The following is an 18,799-nucleotide window of genomic DNA, read 5'->3' as shown; positions in this document are numbered from 1 at the left end:
CACCCAAAACCTGTTCTCTCACCATCTTTCTCATTAGTTAACAGCAATCCCATCATTTCAGTTGGACAGGCAAAAAACCTTGGCATCATTCTTGAGTCTTTTCTTGCTCTCACACTTCACATTTATCAGCAAGACCCGTTGGCTCTGTCTTCAAAATATATTCAAGTCCTTCTCACCACCTCCACAGATACCACCCTGACTCAACTAACTATCATTCTTCCCCCAGATTATTGCAATAGATTCTCTGATGGCCTTCTGTGTTTGCCTTGTCCCTTCATAATCTGTTCTCAATGTAGCAGCCAAAATGGTTCTTTTAAAATGTAAGTCATATCTTACCTCTCCTCTGAACAAAGCTCTCTGCACCTTCCCAAGTCGCTCTACAGGAAACCCAGTCTTTCCACTGGTCAACAAGGTCTCCACGATCAGGCCCTCTCACCTAACTGACCTTACTTCTAACTATTCACTCTGCGTACCCTGCGCCAACCACACTGACCTTCTTGCTGTCTTAGACACTCTGGGCATGTTCCCACCTTGGGGTCTTTGCACTTGCTGTTCCCAAATATCTGCATGCCTCTCTCCCTTACTCCTTCAGGCCTTTGCTCCAGGGTCCACTTCTCAGTGCGTCTTCCCTGACCATTCAGATATCAAATTGCAAGCCCTTCATACATGGCTGCACTTCTCTCCCCATTTCCAACTTTATCTTAATAGAACTTCACTGCCACTTAGAATGCACATATTATGCTTTTTAAAAAATGTTTATTGACTCTCTCCCCTGAATAGAATATGAGTTACATGTGGGCAGCAAATTTTGTCTTCTTATTGTTGTGTTCCCAGTGCCTAGCATTCTCCAATTTGTTGGGTTGATGAATTAACTAATGAATACAATCTCCTACAACCCTCCTCTGTCTCTCCTCATTTTTGGATATTTTCTGTACCATCCCCTATGCTCCATTCGCTCTGCTACCCTGGCCTTCACATACGCTTTTCTCTCTTTCTTTTGGCTTAATAAACTCCTGTGCAATTGCTCAGACCCAGATCAAATACCACCTCCTCTCGGCAGCCTTCCCTCACTCCTCCAGGCAGTATCAGCCACTTTGTTCTCTGAAGTTTCCCAGCCCCGTGGTAGATCTACCATGCTGTGCCTCACCCAGGTGCACAGTGATCTCTCACTTGATTATGAGCCTCAAAGACAGTGGCTGTGTCTAATTCATATCTATATTCTCAGCACAATCCCTGGCTCTTCTCCCACCTGTCTGCCTTTATGACCCACACTAGTCCCGCTGGCTTCTTTCTACTTCTGAACTTGGCCGAACCATCCAACCTGAAGGCATTTGCATTAGCTCTACACAGAATGCTCTTCACACACACGCACACCCTTCACCTGCTCAATGCCATGCTTTTTTTTTTTTTTTTGAGATGGAGTCTCACACTGTAGCCCAGGCTGGAGTGCAGTGGCGTGATCTCGGCTTAATGCAACCTTCACCTCCCAGGTTCAAGCAATTCTTTTGCCTCAGCCTCCTGAGTACCTGGGATTACAGACGTGTGCCACCACACCCGGCTGATTTTTGTATTTTTAGTAGAGATGAGGTTTCACCACATTGGCCAGGCTGATCTCAAACTCATGACCTCAAAGTGATCTGCCCGCCTTGGCCTCCCGAAGTGCTGAGATTACAGACGTGAGCTACCGCACCCAGCCACCATGCCTGTTAGATTCAATCTTCAGGCCTCAGCTTAATGTCACCTCCTCAGGGAGTTCTTCCCTAATCTCCCAGGCTAGGTTAGATACCATCCCTCCCCGCATTTTATATTCTCAGGCTATCCTCCATTTTCCTCCTTAACACTTATCACAATTAGAATTATATAATCATTTGTGGAATTACATATTTGATGTCCATCTCTCCCACCAGTCTATGATCCAAGAGACCTTCATTCTCCTGTACTTTACTATCCCCCAGCGCCTAGCACAGTGACTGACACACAGTAGGTGGTTGAAAATCATGTGTTGAATGAATGAGTGAGTGGATGCATGGATAGATAAGCACTTTGTCCTTCACTTACATTTTGGATAAATAAAGTGTTTATCAGGATGATGTGGGCTGGGTTCCCGCTCACCTCTCCCCACTTCCTTTCCTATAACTTGATGAATACGTCAGAGTATTATTTTCTTTCACCCCAGTCTTGTGATTGCTACTTGATTTTATATAAAGGGATTACTGGTAAAAAGGATTAGTTTGGACTATGACCTATTCCTGGTAATACCCTACAGGGAACATTTTCTTGAGGATTAGAAAACAAAATTTCAGAGGCAAGATCCTGTTATGCATAGGATTGATATTAGGCAACCAGATATCCTCCAGCCCCATGATTAGACACAGGGCAGATAGGAATTAAGCCTCAGGCAACGTCCCTATGGAAGAAGGACAAGCCTTGTTGGATTCTTATACCCCAATCGTCCCAGCATGTGGTGTCTCAAAAACATTTCAGCCAATTCCCTAATTTTGAACACCACTAATTTTATGAACAAGAGCCCATTTCTTACATCTATTAGGTTGTTAGCCACAAGTTTTACCAATAAAAACCTACTTCTGCTATTCTCTGTGCTAATTAGTAAGACACCTGGTGTTGGTCAGTGATATGGAAAACAGAAGAGCTAGCAGCAGGTGTCCTGAGGTGTGACCCTTCTGCGTGAATGTTAATTAATCACCCCTGGGGTGTAGATTCCTAACTGGCTTAGTCAGTTGAGCTGCTATAACAGATTACCATTCACTGGGTGGTTTAAACAACAAACATTGATCTCTCACAGTTCTGGAAGCTGGGAAGCCCAAGATCAAGGTGCCGGCAGATCTGAACGCCTGGTGGGGACCAGCTTTCTGGCATGCAGATGGCTATCTTCTTCTTGTATCCTCACATGCCAGAAAGAGAGCAAGCTACCGCTCTGACCTCTTCTCATCAGGGCACCAATTCCATTCATGAGGGCTCCACTTTCATGACCTAATCACCTCCCAAAGGCCCCACCTCCTAATATCACACTGGGGATTAGGCTTCAACACAGGAATTTTACGGGGACATATATATTTAATTCACAGCACAAACACACACAGGTATATCACGCCATGCCACCTAGAACTACGTATCTTACAGTAGATTGCAGACCTTATAACGCTAAGGGGTTTTTTTTGTTGTTTTTTATTTATTTATTTATTTATTTTTTATTTTTTTATAACCTGAGGTCCACAGACTCCCAGGGAGTCCTTGCATATAATTCAGGGAATCTAGATTTTGGGTGGGGAAAAATTACTTCTTTATTTTCATTGACCTCAGTATTTGCAAAACCTGTGATTTTGTCATCAACGGAAGTCAGATATTTTCATATCCCGGTATAACTGCTGTGCATATCTTGAGATATCATTAATATTCATTGTCTCTTCTAGATGATTCATCCCACTGATGGATCTTTCATTAACTATATTACTGTATCATAGTAATTTCTATATTGCTATGTCATATATTAATATGTAATAAATCCATTTCATAATGGTTTGATAACTATATTGCAATAGAGTGGGTTTCCTTTACAATCCTATGTCTTTTATTTTAGGCATTTACAAACATTAATTTAAGAAGGGGTCCATAATACAAAAAAAGAATTTTGGACATGTCTGAGAACCTTTTGCCTCATAGGCTAGTCCTCCAACACATTGCTTCCCTTCTCAGCTTCTGGACTGAAAATTTGCAGTACAGTCTTTAAGATTCTGGCCAACCAGAAATATCTATTCCAGTGGCTTAGAATCATTCTGCCAAGATACTACTATCCGTTGGGTTCCCGGGAAAGTGGACTCTGAGATTGAGATTTGCATGCAGGACATTTATTGGGGACTACACAAAACCTGTCCTGTAAGGGGAGTCAAGGATACAGGATTGGAAAGAGGGAGAGGCTGGATGATGGCGCAATCACAGCAGAGGGCCTAGCCCATCCAAAGTGGCTGACCCCAGGGAAGGAGATGTCCTGGGGTGAGGCAAGGTCGTGTGGGGATGCAGCTATTAGCCATCAGCTACCAACAAGTCCAACAACTGGGACAATAAGTGATTTGGTCCTGGAGGGGCCTGGGCAGCCCAACATGACATCCAGGACACCTACCCCACACCGCGTCCTGCTATGAGTCACCCACCTGCACAAGCTCTCTCTACTGCACAACTGTTCTGCAAGGCCCACTTATCACCCCATTTTACATCTGAGAAACTGAAGTTCGGAGCCAGTAGGTGATGCCTCAGTGAAGCGCAGCTGGGAGGGGCTCACCTGGGCGACTCTGAGGTCTGCTGGGCTCCCGGGTCCCCTCTGCGTATGGGGGGGTCAGTGTCGCCAGCTGACCCTTCTCTTAAATCTGAGACTGCAGGTGATACAACTCAACCAGTTCTCCAAATGAGAATCAGTGAGCTGAAGAATTCTTCTGTTTTCACTCAAGTTTCCCCTCAGAACTTGCGTCTCCCTAACACCTCCTGTTTCTGGTCTGAAACCTCCCTATTTAAGTCCACAGCCCTGGTCTCTTCCCCACTCCACCACCAAATCGTGCCTCCCACCATCCTCCTCGCTCCCGGTGCCCCCACCCTTCGCATGCATTCCGTCCTTCCCTTTCCACGGCCACACCCACTTTCACCTCAGGAGCCTGAAGAGCTGTCTGGTGGCTACTGGCGCCCTGTTCCCAGCTGTATTAGCCTGTTCTCATGCTGCTGATAAAGACATACCCCAGACTGGGTAATTTATAAAGGAAAGAGGTTTAATTGACTCATAGTTTCACAGGGCTGGGAAGAACCCAGGAAACTTATAATCATGGCAGAAGGGGGAAGCAAATATATCCTTCTTCACATGGCGACAGCAAGGAGAAAGGCAGAGCGAAGGCGGGAAAAGCCCCTTATAAAACCATCAGATCTTGCGAGAACACACTCAGTGTCACGAGAACAGCATGGAGGTAACCGCCCCCATGGCTCAATTACCTCACACCCAATCCCTCCCACAACACGTGGGATTATAGGAACTACTATTCAAAATGAGATTTGGGTGGGGACACAGCCAAACCATATGACTGGCCTACTTTCTCCCTCTCCCTGTCCCCACCAGCCAGACGGACACGCCTCGGTAGCCCCAATCACATCTGGTCATAGCTCCCCATCACCTCCCAGATTAAGCATCGGGTCTTCATCACCGCCTTCCTCACTGCCTATCACCTCCCACACATGCTGTGCTCAGGCTGCAGCTGATCTGTGTGACTCACTCCATTCCCCACTTTTGCTCATGATATTCCTTTTGCTGGAAATTCTCAGGAGGAGGGTCTGTTGAGTGCCTGCCATGCCAGACACCACTGAAGAGAGAGCAATGGAACGGGGTTGTGTGTTACAGGGCTTTATTCTTTACTGGAAAAGGCAGGCAGTGAACAAGTCAATCAACGCCATCATCACAGATCCCAGCAATTGCTATGAAAGTGGTAAAACAGGTTCAGCTGACCTTCCTGATCATGCGCTGTGAGTGGATTACAGATGTGCAAAATGGGGAGCCCCTGGAAGTTTCCGCTACCCCCTCTGGCTTATCCATTCAGGCCAGCAAGCCACACAGAGTACTGTTTCTGCCTCTGCCATAATGTGAAAAAGGCTTGAAAAGCATGAGTGCTGGGGAAGTCCCATGTGAAATGGGCGCCGCCAGTGGCCTGGCTGCTGCCTTGGCGTTTGAGCTGAGATGGAAGAGAAGCCCCAGGTAAGAAGGTTCAGGGAAGAGCAATCCAGGCATGGAGGCCAGCAGGTGTGGCAGAGCTGCAGGTGCAGCGAAAGCAGAAAGGAGTCCCTGGGGCTGAGCAGAGGGGTCGGGGTGGGAGATGATGCAGGAGGAGGAAGGGCCAGATCCTCCCATTCATAGTGCAGCCTACAGACCCACCTCACCTGGAACTTGCTAGAAATGCAGAAATTTGGCACCACCAGAGGACTACTGAATCAGAATTTGCATTTTATTTTATTTTATTTCATTATTATTATTATTATTTTTAGACAGAGTCTTGCTCTATTGCCCAGGCTGGAATGCACTGGTGCCATCTCGGCTCACTGCAACCTCTGCTTCTGGGGTTCAAGCAATTCTCCTGCCTCAGCCTCCCAAGTAGCTGGGATTGCAGGCACCCGACACCAGGCCCTGCTAATTTTTTATATTTTTAGTAGAGACGGGGTTTCACCATGTTGGCCAGGCTGGTTTTGGACTCCTGACCTCAAGTGATCCTCCCGCCTCAGCCTCCCAGAGTGCTAGGATTACAAGCGTGAGCCACCACACCCAGAATTTGCATTTTAGTAAGATCCCAGGCAATACATATGCACATTACAACTGTGGCCAGGACAAGGCCACATAGGGCCTTATAGGCCATGAAAAGGAATTTTAAATGATCTCTCCCTCTTTTTGAGGTCAATGCCTAGTGCTTATTCCTCTAGGAAGCCTGTCTTGATCCTTATAAGCTGTTGAAATTTACAATCTTTTAGGTGACTAATATGTACTTGGCCCTAGTTACTGAATCAAACTATTTGAGGTCCAAGAGTATGTCTTAGTCATTTTTACTTTAGTTTTTTATTTTTTGTTTGTTTTGTTTTATTTGAGACAGGGTCTCACTCTGTGGCACAGGCTAGAGTATGGTGGCACGATCACAGCTCACTGTAGCCTTGACCTTGTGGGCTCAAGCAATCCTCCCACCTCAGCCTCCTAAGTAGCTGGGACTACAAGTGCATGCCTCCACAGCCAGCTAGTTTTTCTATTTTTTACAGAGACAGGGTCTCACTATGTTGCCCAGGCTGGTCTCAAACTACTGGGCTCAAACAATCCTCCTGCCTCAGCCTCCCAAATTGTTGGGATTACAGGCATGAGCCACTATGCCTGGCCTCTTAGTCATTTTTATAATCTCCAAATCCCCTTGTAACATCTTGCTCATAGTGGGTAAATTGCCAGGAAGAAAAAAACAAAAACAGAAAATAATACAGTCATGTACTGGGATATGTCAGGTAGAGTGATACCATATTCAAATAAGACTCTGAACTCTTTGCAGGTAAAGTGACAGAATCCAACTCTACTGGCTTAAGCAAAGAAAGGGAGAACTTATCTCCCATAATGGAAAAGTGTAGGAGAATAGCTTCAGGCATGGCTGGATCCAGGTGTTCAAACTATAATATGTAATCAGGAATCTGTTTCTCTCCAGTTCTCTTATTTGCTTTCCTCCATTCTGGCTTCATCTTTAGGACCAAGTCCACGTATTGACAAAAATGGCCTCCAGCAGTTCCAGACCTATAGTGAACCAGCCTAACAACCTGGAAAAAAGAACCCTCTTTCTCAATTTTTTTTTTTTTGAGATAATCTCACTCTGTCTCCCAGGCTGGAGTGCAGTGGCGTGATCTTGGCTCATCACAACCTCTGCCTCTCAGGTTCAAGTGATACTTGTGCCTCAGCCTCCTGAGTAGCTGGGATTATAGGCAGGCGCCACCACGCCAGGCTGATTTTTGTGTTTTTAGTAGAGATGGGGTTTCACCACTTTGGCCAGACTGGTCTCAAACTCCTGACCTCAGGTGATCGACCCGCCTCAGCCTCCCAAAGTGCTGGGAGTACAGGTGTGAGCCACTGTGCCCGGCCCTCTTTCTCAATATTGAGGACTTTGGTCCTAGGCCAAAGAGGGCTCAGGAGGTAGGATTTAGCCCCACCTGAACCACATGGCCTGGGAGTTGGGGCAGGGGAGATCCCTAAAAGAAAATCTGATGCTGTTAGCAGAAAAAGGAGGAAGGATGTCGAGCAGGGAGCAAAGCCATTCACTACAGCTGGCATCAGACAGATGCTGTGCCAACATTAAAAATCAGGATGTGGAATGACATCTGTTAACCTGGGGAAAAATTCATAGAGTCTTGCTAAGTGAAAAAAGTAAGCTGCAAAACACTACTGTGAAATGACACCATTCCGAGGTATGAAAATATTATAGTGTAAGTATGCCTAGAATTAATTCTTAAGGCAATATCCCAATGCACCCTGGTGAAGTGGAAAGTTTTCTTTTTTATATTTGTTTGCAATTTTAAAATTTCTATACTGAATATCTATTGCATTTACTATTATTTAAAACACATTTTAAAATTAAGGTGTGTGTGAGGATTGATTTTATGTGTCAACATGGCTGGGCTATGGTGCCCAAATATTTGGTCAATCATTCTGGATGTTTCTGTGAAGGTGGGTATTTTTTTTTATGAGATTAACATTAAAATTGGTGGACTTTGAGTAAAGCAGATTGCCACCTATAATGTGAGTGGCCCTCATCCAATCAGTTGAAGGCCTGAATAAAACAAAGACCAACCTTCGGAGCAAGAAGGAATTCTTCCAGCCGGCTGACCTTGGACTTGAACTGCAACTTTTCACGGAGTCTCCAGCCTGCTGGCCTATCCCATCAGATTTTGGACTTATCGAGCCTCCACAATTGTGAAAGCCAATTTCTTAAAGTCTCTCTCTACACACACACACACACACACACACACACACACACACACACACACTCCCTGTTGGTTCTGTCTCTCTGGAGAGAACACTCACACAATCCAGCTCCTGCCTTCTATCAACTCCGCGAAGAAGATAACAGCAGTCAGGAAGCTTGTGTCCCAGCCCGGGGCTGTCTCTTACCAGAAGGTTGGTCCCAGGCAACTCCATTCTTCCCTGAGCCTAGCTTCCTTATCTCTAACCCCGAGGGTGACTCACTATTCCAGCCTTGACTGACTGCCAAATGGCCCAGACAGGGCCAGTGATAGTCCCACAGTGCCCGTCCTTAGTATAATTTCTCAACACTGAGCTGCCAGTCACTTATTTCTGAAGATTAGGTGCTGCCATGAGTTTCTTTACACAAGAAGTCAGTGTGGAAAAAAAAAATAGAATAAAACAACAAAATCTCCCGAGCCGAGAGACTTTTCTAGTCACTGATGAATAGATAAAAAGAAACGTCTGTTTCATCTTCATGCTTAAAACACCTGCAATATCAATACACTTCCCGATCTCATCATTAGCACTGAGAAGACTGATCCATGCTTAAACCCAACAAGACTTAGCTCCCAGAGTAAAGGGCCTTTGCCTCTTGGCTCACCTCTCTGGCTTTGTACTTTCTTTGTGCACTGAAGATCAAATGTGGCATGAAGTGAGAAACTCACTTCAAACCCCCACTCCGAATCGTTGAACAGGTTCTAAAAGCACTGGAGCTGAAAGTCCCCTCTCATGATTCCAGCCCGTGTGCACTGGACATGCCCAGAAAGGAAGCCCTGCCATTGTCTGGGATGTGTCTCATTGACGTCATCAGCAGTCTTCCTTGAGTTTCCCAATGTCCCCAACACTTCCCCTGGTGGTCAACTATCCAGGTAGTTCTCTTGTGGCTTCAGGAATGCTCAAGGTGACCCCTAGGGCCTATTGAAATAGTCCATTAATGAAAATCATTCTGTCCAGCCTATCATTCTTATGCCTCTCAGATATGGCAGCCCCTTTAGAGAACAAAAGATTTCCATGCTTCCTTCACTATGTGGAAATGAAATTTACAGATAATTTTACCTTCCTGCACACACAATTTAAAAAAAATCAATAGAATGTCCTATCTATACTATGAAGAAGGAATAAAAGTAATTTAGGATAAAAACAGACGTAATGTAGAATAAAACAATATCCATGCTGTCAATCATTCCACAGTGTTTATGAGTGTCTACCTCCAGGCAAGGGTGTCAGTGCAGAACAGCAAAGAAAACTGTCAGGAAGGGGGATACAGCATTGAGGGCGTGGGCTCCTAGCTCAGGCAAGACCTTACTGGAAGTCCTAATGAAATAATTAGATGCTTGCATCTCCTGTGTTAATGAATTCAATGAATATTTACCAAGTGTTGACTGTGAGGCAGGCACTGTTCTAGGGGACGGAAAGTCAGGAGTGAACAAACCCTTTCCCCCCCGGGTTGCCATTCCAGGCGGGGGCATAAGTTTCAATGTAAGAGGAATGAGGAGGTCAGGAGCCAGTGTCTACAAGGAAATCAAATGAGCTGCAGGTATGCAAGGACATGAGAAGAAATGTGAGAATATCATATCCTGCAGGAAATGGAGGGAGGGAGAGTCATGGGTCACCCCCAGGTCTCAAGCCCTGCTGAAATTTAGAGCAAGAATGCTTCACTGGAGCAGAGCAAGAAAAGAAATATATCTGTGTCATCTTAGAAGATACCCCAGACTTCCCAGATCTTGAGACCTTCAGAAACACAGATTAAAAGCAACCCCCAGGCATCCTCCTGCCTCCCACCTCATAGAATTGATGTTGGTTTTTCCTTCTCCCTAGAATGCTCTTTGCCCAGGAATCCTCACAAACTCTCTCCTTCACTTCATTCAAATTTATGCTCATGACACCCTTTAGGGAGGACATTCATGTCCACTATATGCAAAAGAGCTCCCACCCTCACCCCATCCCAGCCTGCCCTCCTACTCCACTCCAGTTGTCACTCACCACTCCTCAACATTGTGTTATGTATTTACCAGTTCCTTTGGTGGTTGTCTTGTCTCTCCTACTCAATCTAAATTTCACTAGAGCAGGGGCCACCTGTTTCATTCATTGCTGTCACATCAGCAATTGGGACACTGCCTGGCACACAAGAGGCCCTCAATAAATATGTGTATGTTCTGGGTACTGTGGCTCACATCTGTAATCCCAACACTTTGGGAGGCTGAGGTGGGCAGATTGCTTGAGCTCAGGAGTTCAAGACCAGCCTGGGCAACATAGCAAAACCCTATCTCTACAAAAATATAAACATTAGCCTGGTGTGGTGGTGTGCACTTATAATCTCAGCTACTTGGGAAGCTGAGATGGGAGGATCACTTGAGCCCAGGAAGTGGAGGTTACAGTGAGCCAAGATCACTGCACTTCAGCCTGGGCAACAGAGCCAGACCCTGTCTCAAATAAATAAATAAATAAATAAATATACCATAGAATTAATATCCAGTGATGTGCTAGAGCTGGCTGACTCCAGCATGAGAGAGTCAATTGCATGCCTCTGGTCCCAAATGTGTATTTCATGATGTAGGGTTGGTATCTTAAAATCTGCCATGATGGGAGTATTTACACCACAGTAATTGGCCAATGCTACATGTCAGAGCTCCTTCTCCCACTGGAAAGCTGGTTGTTATACATTTATCAGTACATCATTGGACATAAATAAACATATGCTACTGGACTATATCACCTTTGTTAAGAGACGTGGTTCCCCTACAGCTCTGAAGACAAACCATTTCAACCCCAAGTTGCTGCTTCTGTCACAGGCCTAACAAACTGGTTGAATGGCAAGAAACCCAAACACCTTATATTTATTCTCTGCACACAACGTTACTGATATTAGTGTGGAAGTGCATTCTTCGTGACACTAGAGCCATCTCAGCTAAGAGGCAACCATTTTTTTTGCCCTAGTAATTAAAAAATGGCAATTGCTAGTTATTAAAATAGGAAAGTAGATAAATAGCGATGATAATTACTGCATTTTTCTCTTCAGAGAAAACAGCAATACTGTATGTAGTCATTTTCGATAAATATAGAAAATAAGTAATTATTGCTGAAGCTATTCATTATGAATCTCTATTCGCAATCTCACTTCTGCAAACACCATTCATTGTTTAAAATAATGGTTCTAAAGGGCAAGGCAAACTTCTCATTACCGGCTGGCAGGCACCCGTGGATGGAGAGGTGGCAGGCACACGGGGCAGCTTGGCTAGTTGGTCATCTCAGTGCTGATTGTGAAAATAAGTTTGAAAAGATAATCTTATCCAACATAGAAAAAAACAAAAAGAGTGGCCGGGCGCGGTGGCTCACGCCTGTAATCCCAGTACTTTGGGAGGCCGAGGTGGGCAGATCACGAGGTCAGGAGACCAAGACCATCCTGGATAACACGGTGAAACCCCGTCTCTACTAAAAATACAAAAAAATAGCCGGGCATGGTGGCAGGCGCCTGTAGTCCCAGCTACTTGGGAGGCTGAAGCAGGAGAATGGTGTGAACCCGGGAGGCAGAGTTTGCAGTGAGCCGAGATCGCGCCACTGCACTCCAGCCTGGGCGACAGAGCAAGACTCTGTCTCAAAAAAAAAAAAAGAAAAAAACAAAAAGAGCAAAAAAGACTAGCGCATCTGTCTGTGGGCCAGCCAAGGGCGGCTGCAGGTCAGGAGCTCTAATTAAGCAAGGTGCAGTGGGTGGAGGGGAACTTGGTGTCCACTCAGCCACAGTGCTGTTTTCATGTCTAACCTTGATTGAACCAAGCTTCTCAGAAAGCCCAACCCTAATGGAAAATAAATTCTGCTGAATTCGAATGGAGCCATTAACGTCTCCCTTCTCAGGTCTTGAAACATTTATTTGCTTTAAAATACACGCACTCATCTCAGTTCTATTAGGAGTCAGAGCCAGCTTTTGCCTGGGAGCAGATTTATCTCTGCCCACACCCTCCCACCCCCTTGCTGCTCTCCTCCCCAGGCAGGGCTGAGCCGCAGCGGAGAAGGGACAGGGGCAGAGGCCAGAGCATCCCAGGGGCTTCCCTCCTCATCAGCTCATGGGAGTTGCCTTAGTACCACCCTGCGGTGCTGAGTCCTGATGGGCCCCAAGCCCCTGTCCCTCCAGGAGCTTCCTTTATGATCTGAACAAGTCCTACTCTCAATGATTGGAGAAAAAGTTTTTTGTTTTTTTTTTAAATTTGAGACAAGGTCTCACTCTGTTGTCTAGGCTGGAGTCCAGTGGCCTGATCGTGACCTCCTTGGCTCAAGTCATCCTCCCACCTCAGCCTCCCAAGTGACTGGGACTACAGGCATAAGCCACCATGTCTGGCTAATTTTTTAATTTTTTATAGAGACAGGGTCTTGCTCTATTGCCCAGGCTGGTCTTGAACTCCTAGGCTCAAGCAATCCTCCCAGTTCAGCCTTCCAAGATGCTGGGATTACAGATATGAGCCACCTGCCTGGCCCTAGAGAAAGATTCATAATCCAGTGTCAGGAATTTGTTCCAAATGCTGGCTTCATCATTTGAGGAAGCCTGTCTTCCTCCATGGGTCTTAGTTTCTTCATCCATTTGGAAGGACAGGCTGGATCTGCAGTTCCCAGGGGGGTACTGTCCCTATGAGGTGTTTTGGAGATCTTCCAGAGCATCTCTGATTATCACAATGATTAGAGACACCATTGGCTTTCATGGGCATTGGCAGGCAATGCCTGGGACAGTCTTGCACAGCAAAGAACTGCTTCATGTCCCATGTGACTTTCAAAAACCCCACTGCACATTCCCATACCTGTGTGACTTTGTGAAGTCACTTTGCTTCTTCATACTTTTACTTTCCTCTTTTTTTTTTGAGATGGAGTTTCGCTCTCGTTGCCCAGGCTGGAGTGCAATGGCACGAACTCGGCTCACTGCTACCTCTGCCTCCTGAGTTCGAGCGATTTTCCTGCCTCAGCCTCCCAAGTAGCTGGGATTACAGGCATGTGCCACCACACCCGGCTAATTTTGTATTTTTAGTAGAGATGGGGTTTCTCCATGTTGGTTAGGCTGGTCTCGAACTCCCGACCTCAGGTAATCCGCCCGCCTCGGCCTCCCAAAGTGCTGGGATTACAGGTGTGACCCACCGTGCCCAGACTACTTTCCTCTTCTTTAGCTAAGAAGTATTGTTCTCAAGGCTCAGGCCAGGTTGGGCAGTGTAGGAGTCTATGAGAGGAATTCAGATAAGTATGTTCATTCATAACAAATATTTCTTGAGCACCAACCAAGCACTGGGTTCTGGGTTGGATGCTGGGGATACAGCACTCAGTCAGACACATGTAGTTCTTGTCTGCACAGGGCTCATAGCCCAGTGTACTCAAATCTGTGATTCTGGAAAGGATGTTATGCCCCTTTAATAATTAACACTCAGTCTCTATTTATGTGGCCCCATTAGGTGCTGGGCATGGAGCTACTACTAGAGATTCAGAGATGAAGGGCAGTAGGCAAGTAAACAGCAAACCAGAGGTGGTGGAATCCATCCTGTAATGCAGGTTGCATATTACAAGATGAGAGCTACTATTTGTCACATACTTACTATGCGCCGGACCAGGAGAGGGACTTTTGTTGTTGCTGTAGAGACAAGGTCTTACTCTATCATCCAGGCTGGAGTGCAGTGGCACAATCACAGATCACTGCAGCCTCCACCTTCCGGGCTCAAGCAGTCCTCCCACCTCAGCCTCCTGGGTAGCTGGGACTACAGGTGCACATCACCATGCCTGGCTAATTTTTTGTACTTTTTGTAGAGATGGGGTGTTGCCACGTTGCCAAGGCTTGTCTCAAACTCCTGGGCTCAATCGATCCACCTGCCTTGGCCCCCTAGGCCAGCTCACGAGAGGGACTTCACATACACGATGTCATTTGAGCCTCACAATAACCACATGGAGTAAGCCAGCCTGTGTGTCACTGTCACAATTTTTGCCATTTCCACCTGCTACCTTTTGTTATTTACTTGACATTTTTCTTTAACCAACTTGCATAATTAAACCAATCCTTGTCCTAAGTGATAATATCTCTGAAATCATAAGGCTGATGAGGTTTTTGTGTGTGTGTATTTAATACTTTGTTGTGGTCTGAATGTGTGTGACCCCTCAAATTCATGTGTCAAAACCCTAAACCTCAACGGGATGGTATTAGGAGGTAGGGCCTTTAGGAGTTGATTAGGTCAGGAGGGTGGAGCCCTCATGAATAGAATTGGTGTCCTTATAAAACGAACCCCAGACACACATACGTGATGGAATACTATACCATATTATACCATACTATACCAATACTATACCATACCATAAAAAAGAATGAGTTCATGTCCTTTGCAGAGACATGGATGAAGCTGGAAGCCATCCTTCTCAGCAAACTAACACAGCAACAGAAAACCAAATACCACATGTTCTCACTCATAAGTGGGAGTTGAAAAATGAGAACACATGGGCACAGGGAGGGGAACATCACACACCAGGTCCTGTTGGGGGAAGGGGGGCAAGCAGAGGGAGAGCATTAGGACACATACCTAATGCATGTAGGGCTTAAAACCTAGATGATGGGTTGATAGATGCAGCAAACCACCATGGCACATGTATTCCTATGCAACAAACCTGCACGCTCTGCACATGTATCCCAGAATGTAAAGTAAAATAAAAATAAATAAATAAATAAATAAACAAAATTTTTTCAAAAAAGAGACCCCAGAGAGCTCTCTAGCCATCTTTCCATCATGTGAGGATGCAACAGGAAGTTGACAGTCTACAATCTGGGAGAGGGCCCTCACCAGAACCCAACCCTGCTGGCACCCTGATTTTGGACTTCCAGCCTCCAGGACTGTGAGAAATAAATGTTGCTTAAGCCACCCAGTCTATGGTTCTTTGTTAATAAAGAAATACCTATAAAACAAATATGTAATACATCAAGAAAGCATACCTATAAAACAAATGTGTAAGAAGTGAACATTTTAAACTGTTTGGGTATACTGAAATCATCTTGTGTATCAGACACTGGGAAATGCTGGGTAGATGGGCCTGGGTAAGGAATGCTAGCTGCTATAAAAGCAACATGCCCAATGTTTATTTTTCAATCATGTCACGTCCAGTGTAGCTGATTAGGGGGTGGAGGTTCTCCACCAAGTCACTCAGGGACTCAGGTTCCTTCCATCTAAAAGCTCATCCTCCTGGAGCCTTAGAAGCTTCCCCCTGGATTCTCAGCTCCCAGCTGACAGGTGTAGGAAGAGAATTCATCACATGCTATTGGTCAGAGTCCATCAATATGACCCCTCCCTAACAGTGGGGACACTGGCATGTGTGGTTTGTCCATGGGCCCTGGAGGAAAGAAAAACAAGTTTTGCTGAAGATCTAGCATGGTCTCTGCCACACACAGATAAGAATTTCTACTTTGGAAACACTAAGGCAAGAATTTCCATTTTACAAGGGAGGAAATAGAGGCTTTAAAAAGCGAAGTGCTGCTGAGTGTGGTAACTCATGCCTGTAATCCCAGCACTTTGGGAGGCCGAGGCGAGAGGATCACCTGAGGTCAGGAGTTTGAGAACAGCCTGGCCAACATGGTGAAACCCCGTCTCTACTGAAAATACAAAAATTAGCCTGGCATGGTGGCGGGCGCCTGTAATCCCAGCTACTCAGGAGGCTGAGGCATGAGAATCACTTGAGCCCAGCAGGCCGAGGTTGCAGTGAGCCGAGATCATGCCACTGCACTCCAGCCTGGGTGACAGAGTGAGACTCTGTCTCAACAACAACAAAAACAACAACAACAAAAATTAAAAAAAAAAATTTAAAAAGGCTGGGCACAGTGGCTCATGCATGTAATCCCAGTACTTTGGGAGGCTGAGGTGGGCGGATCACCTGAGATTGGGAGTTTGAGACAAGCCTGACTAACATGGAGAAACCCTGTCTCGACTAAAAATACACAATTAGCCGGGTGTGGTGGCGCATGCCTGTAATCCCAGCTACTCGGGAGGCTGAGGCAGGAGAATTGCTTGAACCCGGGAGGCAGAGGTTGCGGTGAGCTGAGATCGCACCATTGCACTCCAGCCTAGAGGCAACAAGAGCAAAACTCCATCTCAAAAAAAAAAAAAAAAAAAAAAAAAGAAGTGCCTTTCCCCAGGTGACACAGGTATTAAGAAGTAAGGCTGGATCCAAGCCAAAGCCTATGTTTCAACCTCCCTCTCTCTGTGCCCCTCAAGGATTGCCATAGTGCTATCTCCTGTGAACTCACTCCTGACCTCCAGATCTGCACCTCAAACCTTCAGCAGATGTCCTCACCTGGTGTCCCTCCAGCACTGCTAAGCATGTCCTGAACCAAGGTCATCCTTTCTCCCCACTTCCCAAGGCCTGTTGCCTTCTCCTTCTGAATGTGCTGTTATAGAAAATGGATCCACTCATAAAGCCAGAAAACTGGAGCTTCTTCTAGAATGTCCCTGTCTCAGAGTGCATTTAGCTGCAAGTAACAGAAAACCCAACTCAAAATGACTTAAACCACTAGAAAATGTCCCACTTCCTATAAAAACAAGTCCCCACATGTGGGGGTTTCAGGATTGGCAAATGTGGTGGTTCAACCACACAATCTAAGGACCCAAGTCCCTCTGTCTTCCCACTTGACCGCCCTCAGCCCTTGGCTTGATCTCTTCCTGATCTCTTCATGGAACTCCACTGTAGTCCCAAGATGGCTGCCTGGTTCCAGGCAACACACACAGAAAGGAAAGTTTCTACTTAATAGTCTTTTGCCAGGATTGTGTCACATGCCCATTCCTAAACAAGTCGTGGGCAGGGGCTTCCCATGGAATGATCAGAATGGCTGAGATTAATAACGGTTGGATTTTGTGTGGAGACCTAGCAGCTGTTCTCCACAACAATCCTTTGGTTTTATAAAGGATGAGCACCTTTCCTGCCAAGAGACGATGAGCACCATACAATATCTGTACACTACCCTCTTCCTTACTCCAACTTCTAGCCAATCACCACAGCCTGCTGATTTCACCTCCTTCATTTCTCTTGGTTCCATATCTTACTTTTGATCTCCATTTAAGCTATCATCATTCAAAACCTCAGGAAGTTGGGCAAACTTTTAACAGTGAATTACTTCATTAACATATAAGTCCTTAAATGCTAAAAAGCACATTCTCTTAAATGGTTTGTCCTGTCCAGTTGCTCCAGCAAATAATCTTTTCGTCACAGACATACAAAGATAAATTTTATTCTGGTTTTTGTGCAAATTGAAAGCAAAGAATAGAGAAATTCTAAAAGTGAGACATCAGAATTCATGGGTTGGTACTGTATTTGATGTTTTCCATTTCCAGAAATAATTATGACTAAAATTATTATAACATCTGATTTTTTTTTTTTTTTTAGACAGGGTCTCACTCCCATCACCCACACTGGAGTGCGGCGGCGTGATCACGGCTCGCTGCAGCCTCAACTTCCTGGGCTCAAGTGATCCTCCCACTTTAGCCTCCCAAGTAGCTAGGACTACAGGCAAGCACCACCACGCACAGCTAATTTTTGTGTTTTTAATAGAGACGGGGTTTCTGTATGTTGCTCAGGCTGGTCTTGAACTCCTGGGCTCAAGCCATCCACCTGCCTCGGCCTCTTAAAGTGCTGGGATTACAGGTGTGAGCCATCATACCCGGCCTAGAATCTGATTTTTGAAGATGCCTTAAATAACTTTGTTTTAAGGTGGCTCATGGAGAGTATTTAGATTCTATATATTGGTAGCTAACTACCATTTGAAAAATTAGTGAGAAGTATTATCACAAAAATAGATACTTATGTGCATTGTACATATCCAAAACTTGCAATCAGCTGGGTGCAGAGGCTCACGCCTGTAATCCCAACACTTTGGGAGGCCGAGGCAGGCGGATCATCTGAGGTCAGGAGTTCGAGACCAGCCTGGCCAACATGGTGAAACCCCGTCTCTATAAAAATTAGCCAGGCATGATGGCAGGTGCCTGTAATCTCAGCTACTCAGGAGGCTAAGGTGGGAGAATCACCTGAACCCAGGAAGTGGAGGTTGCAGTGAGCCGAGATTGCGCCAGTTCACTCCAGCCTGGGTGGATCATCTGAGGTCAGGAGTTCGAGACCAGCCTGGCCAACATGGTGAAACCCCGTCTCTATAAAAATTAGCCAGGCATGATGGCAGGTGCCTGTAATCTCAGCTACTCAGGAGGCTAAGGTGGGAGAATCACCTGAACCCAGGAAGTGGAGGTTGCAGTGAGCCGAGATTGAGCCAATTCACTCCAGCCTGGG

The 18,799-nt window shown here is 45.7% G+C and overlaps 1 long non-coding RNA gene across 1 annotated transcript, besides 2 other annotated features; it reads right to left on the bottom strand.

The window, feature by feature from the left end:
* Positions 2,243-3,154: an enhancer, noted in NCBI's record as "OCT4-NANOG hESC enhancer chr12:104808107-104809018 (GRCh37/hg19 assembly coordinates)". NCBI's record gives its function as "activates a minimal SCP1, AML or CMV promoter by ChIP-STARR-seq in naive and primed H9 embryonic stem cells {active_cell/tissue: H9 hESC(naive and primed)}" and the evidence as "EXISTENCE:reporter gene assay evidence [ECO:0000049][PMID:30033119]".
* Positions 5,128-5,187: an enhancer, noted in NCBI's record as "active region_6910". NCBI's record gives its function as "activates an Ori minimal core promoter by ATAC-STARR-seq in GM12878 lymphoblastoid cells {active_cell/tissue: GM12878}" and the evidence as "EXISTENCE:reporter gene assay evidence [ECO:0000049][PMID:35858748]".
* On the bottom strand, positions 15,590-17,924 carry LOC124903003 (uncharacterized). The gene is made up of 2 exons (XR_007063434.1): positions 16,820-17,924; positions 15,590-15,862 (listed from the first exon to the last, which is right to left on the bottom strand). It is a non-coding gene; the product is annotated as an uncharacterized LOC124903003 (long non-coding RNA).
* Positions 17,925-18,799: the final 875 nt, after the last annotated feature.

This window comes from Homo sapiens, chromosome 12, assembly GCF_000001405.40.
Source record: "Homo sapiens chromosome 12, GRCh38.p14 Primary Assembly".
Lineage (NCBI taxonomy): Eukaryota > Metazoa > Chordata > Mammalia > Primates > Hominidae > Homo > Homo sapiens.
Note: the sequence above shows the minus strand (reverse complement) of the source record. Positions and strands in the feature narration are given on the sequence as shown.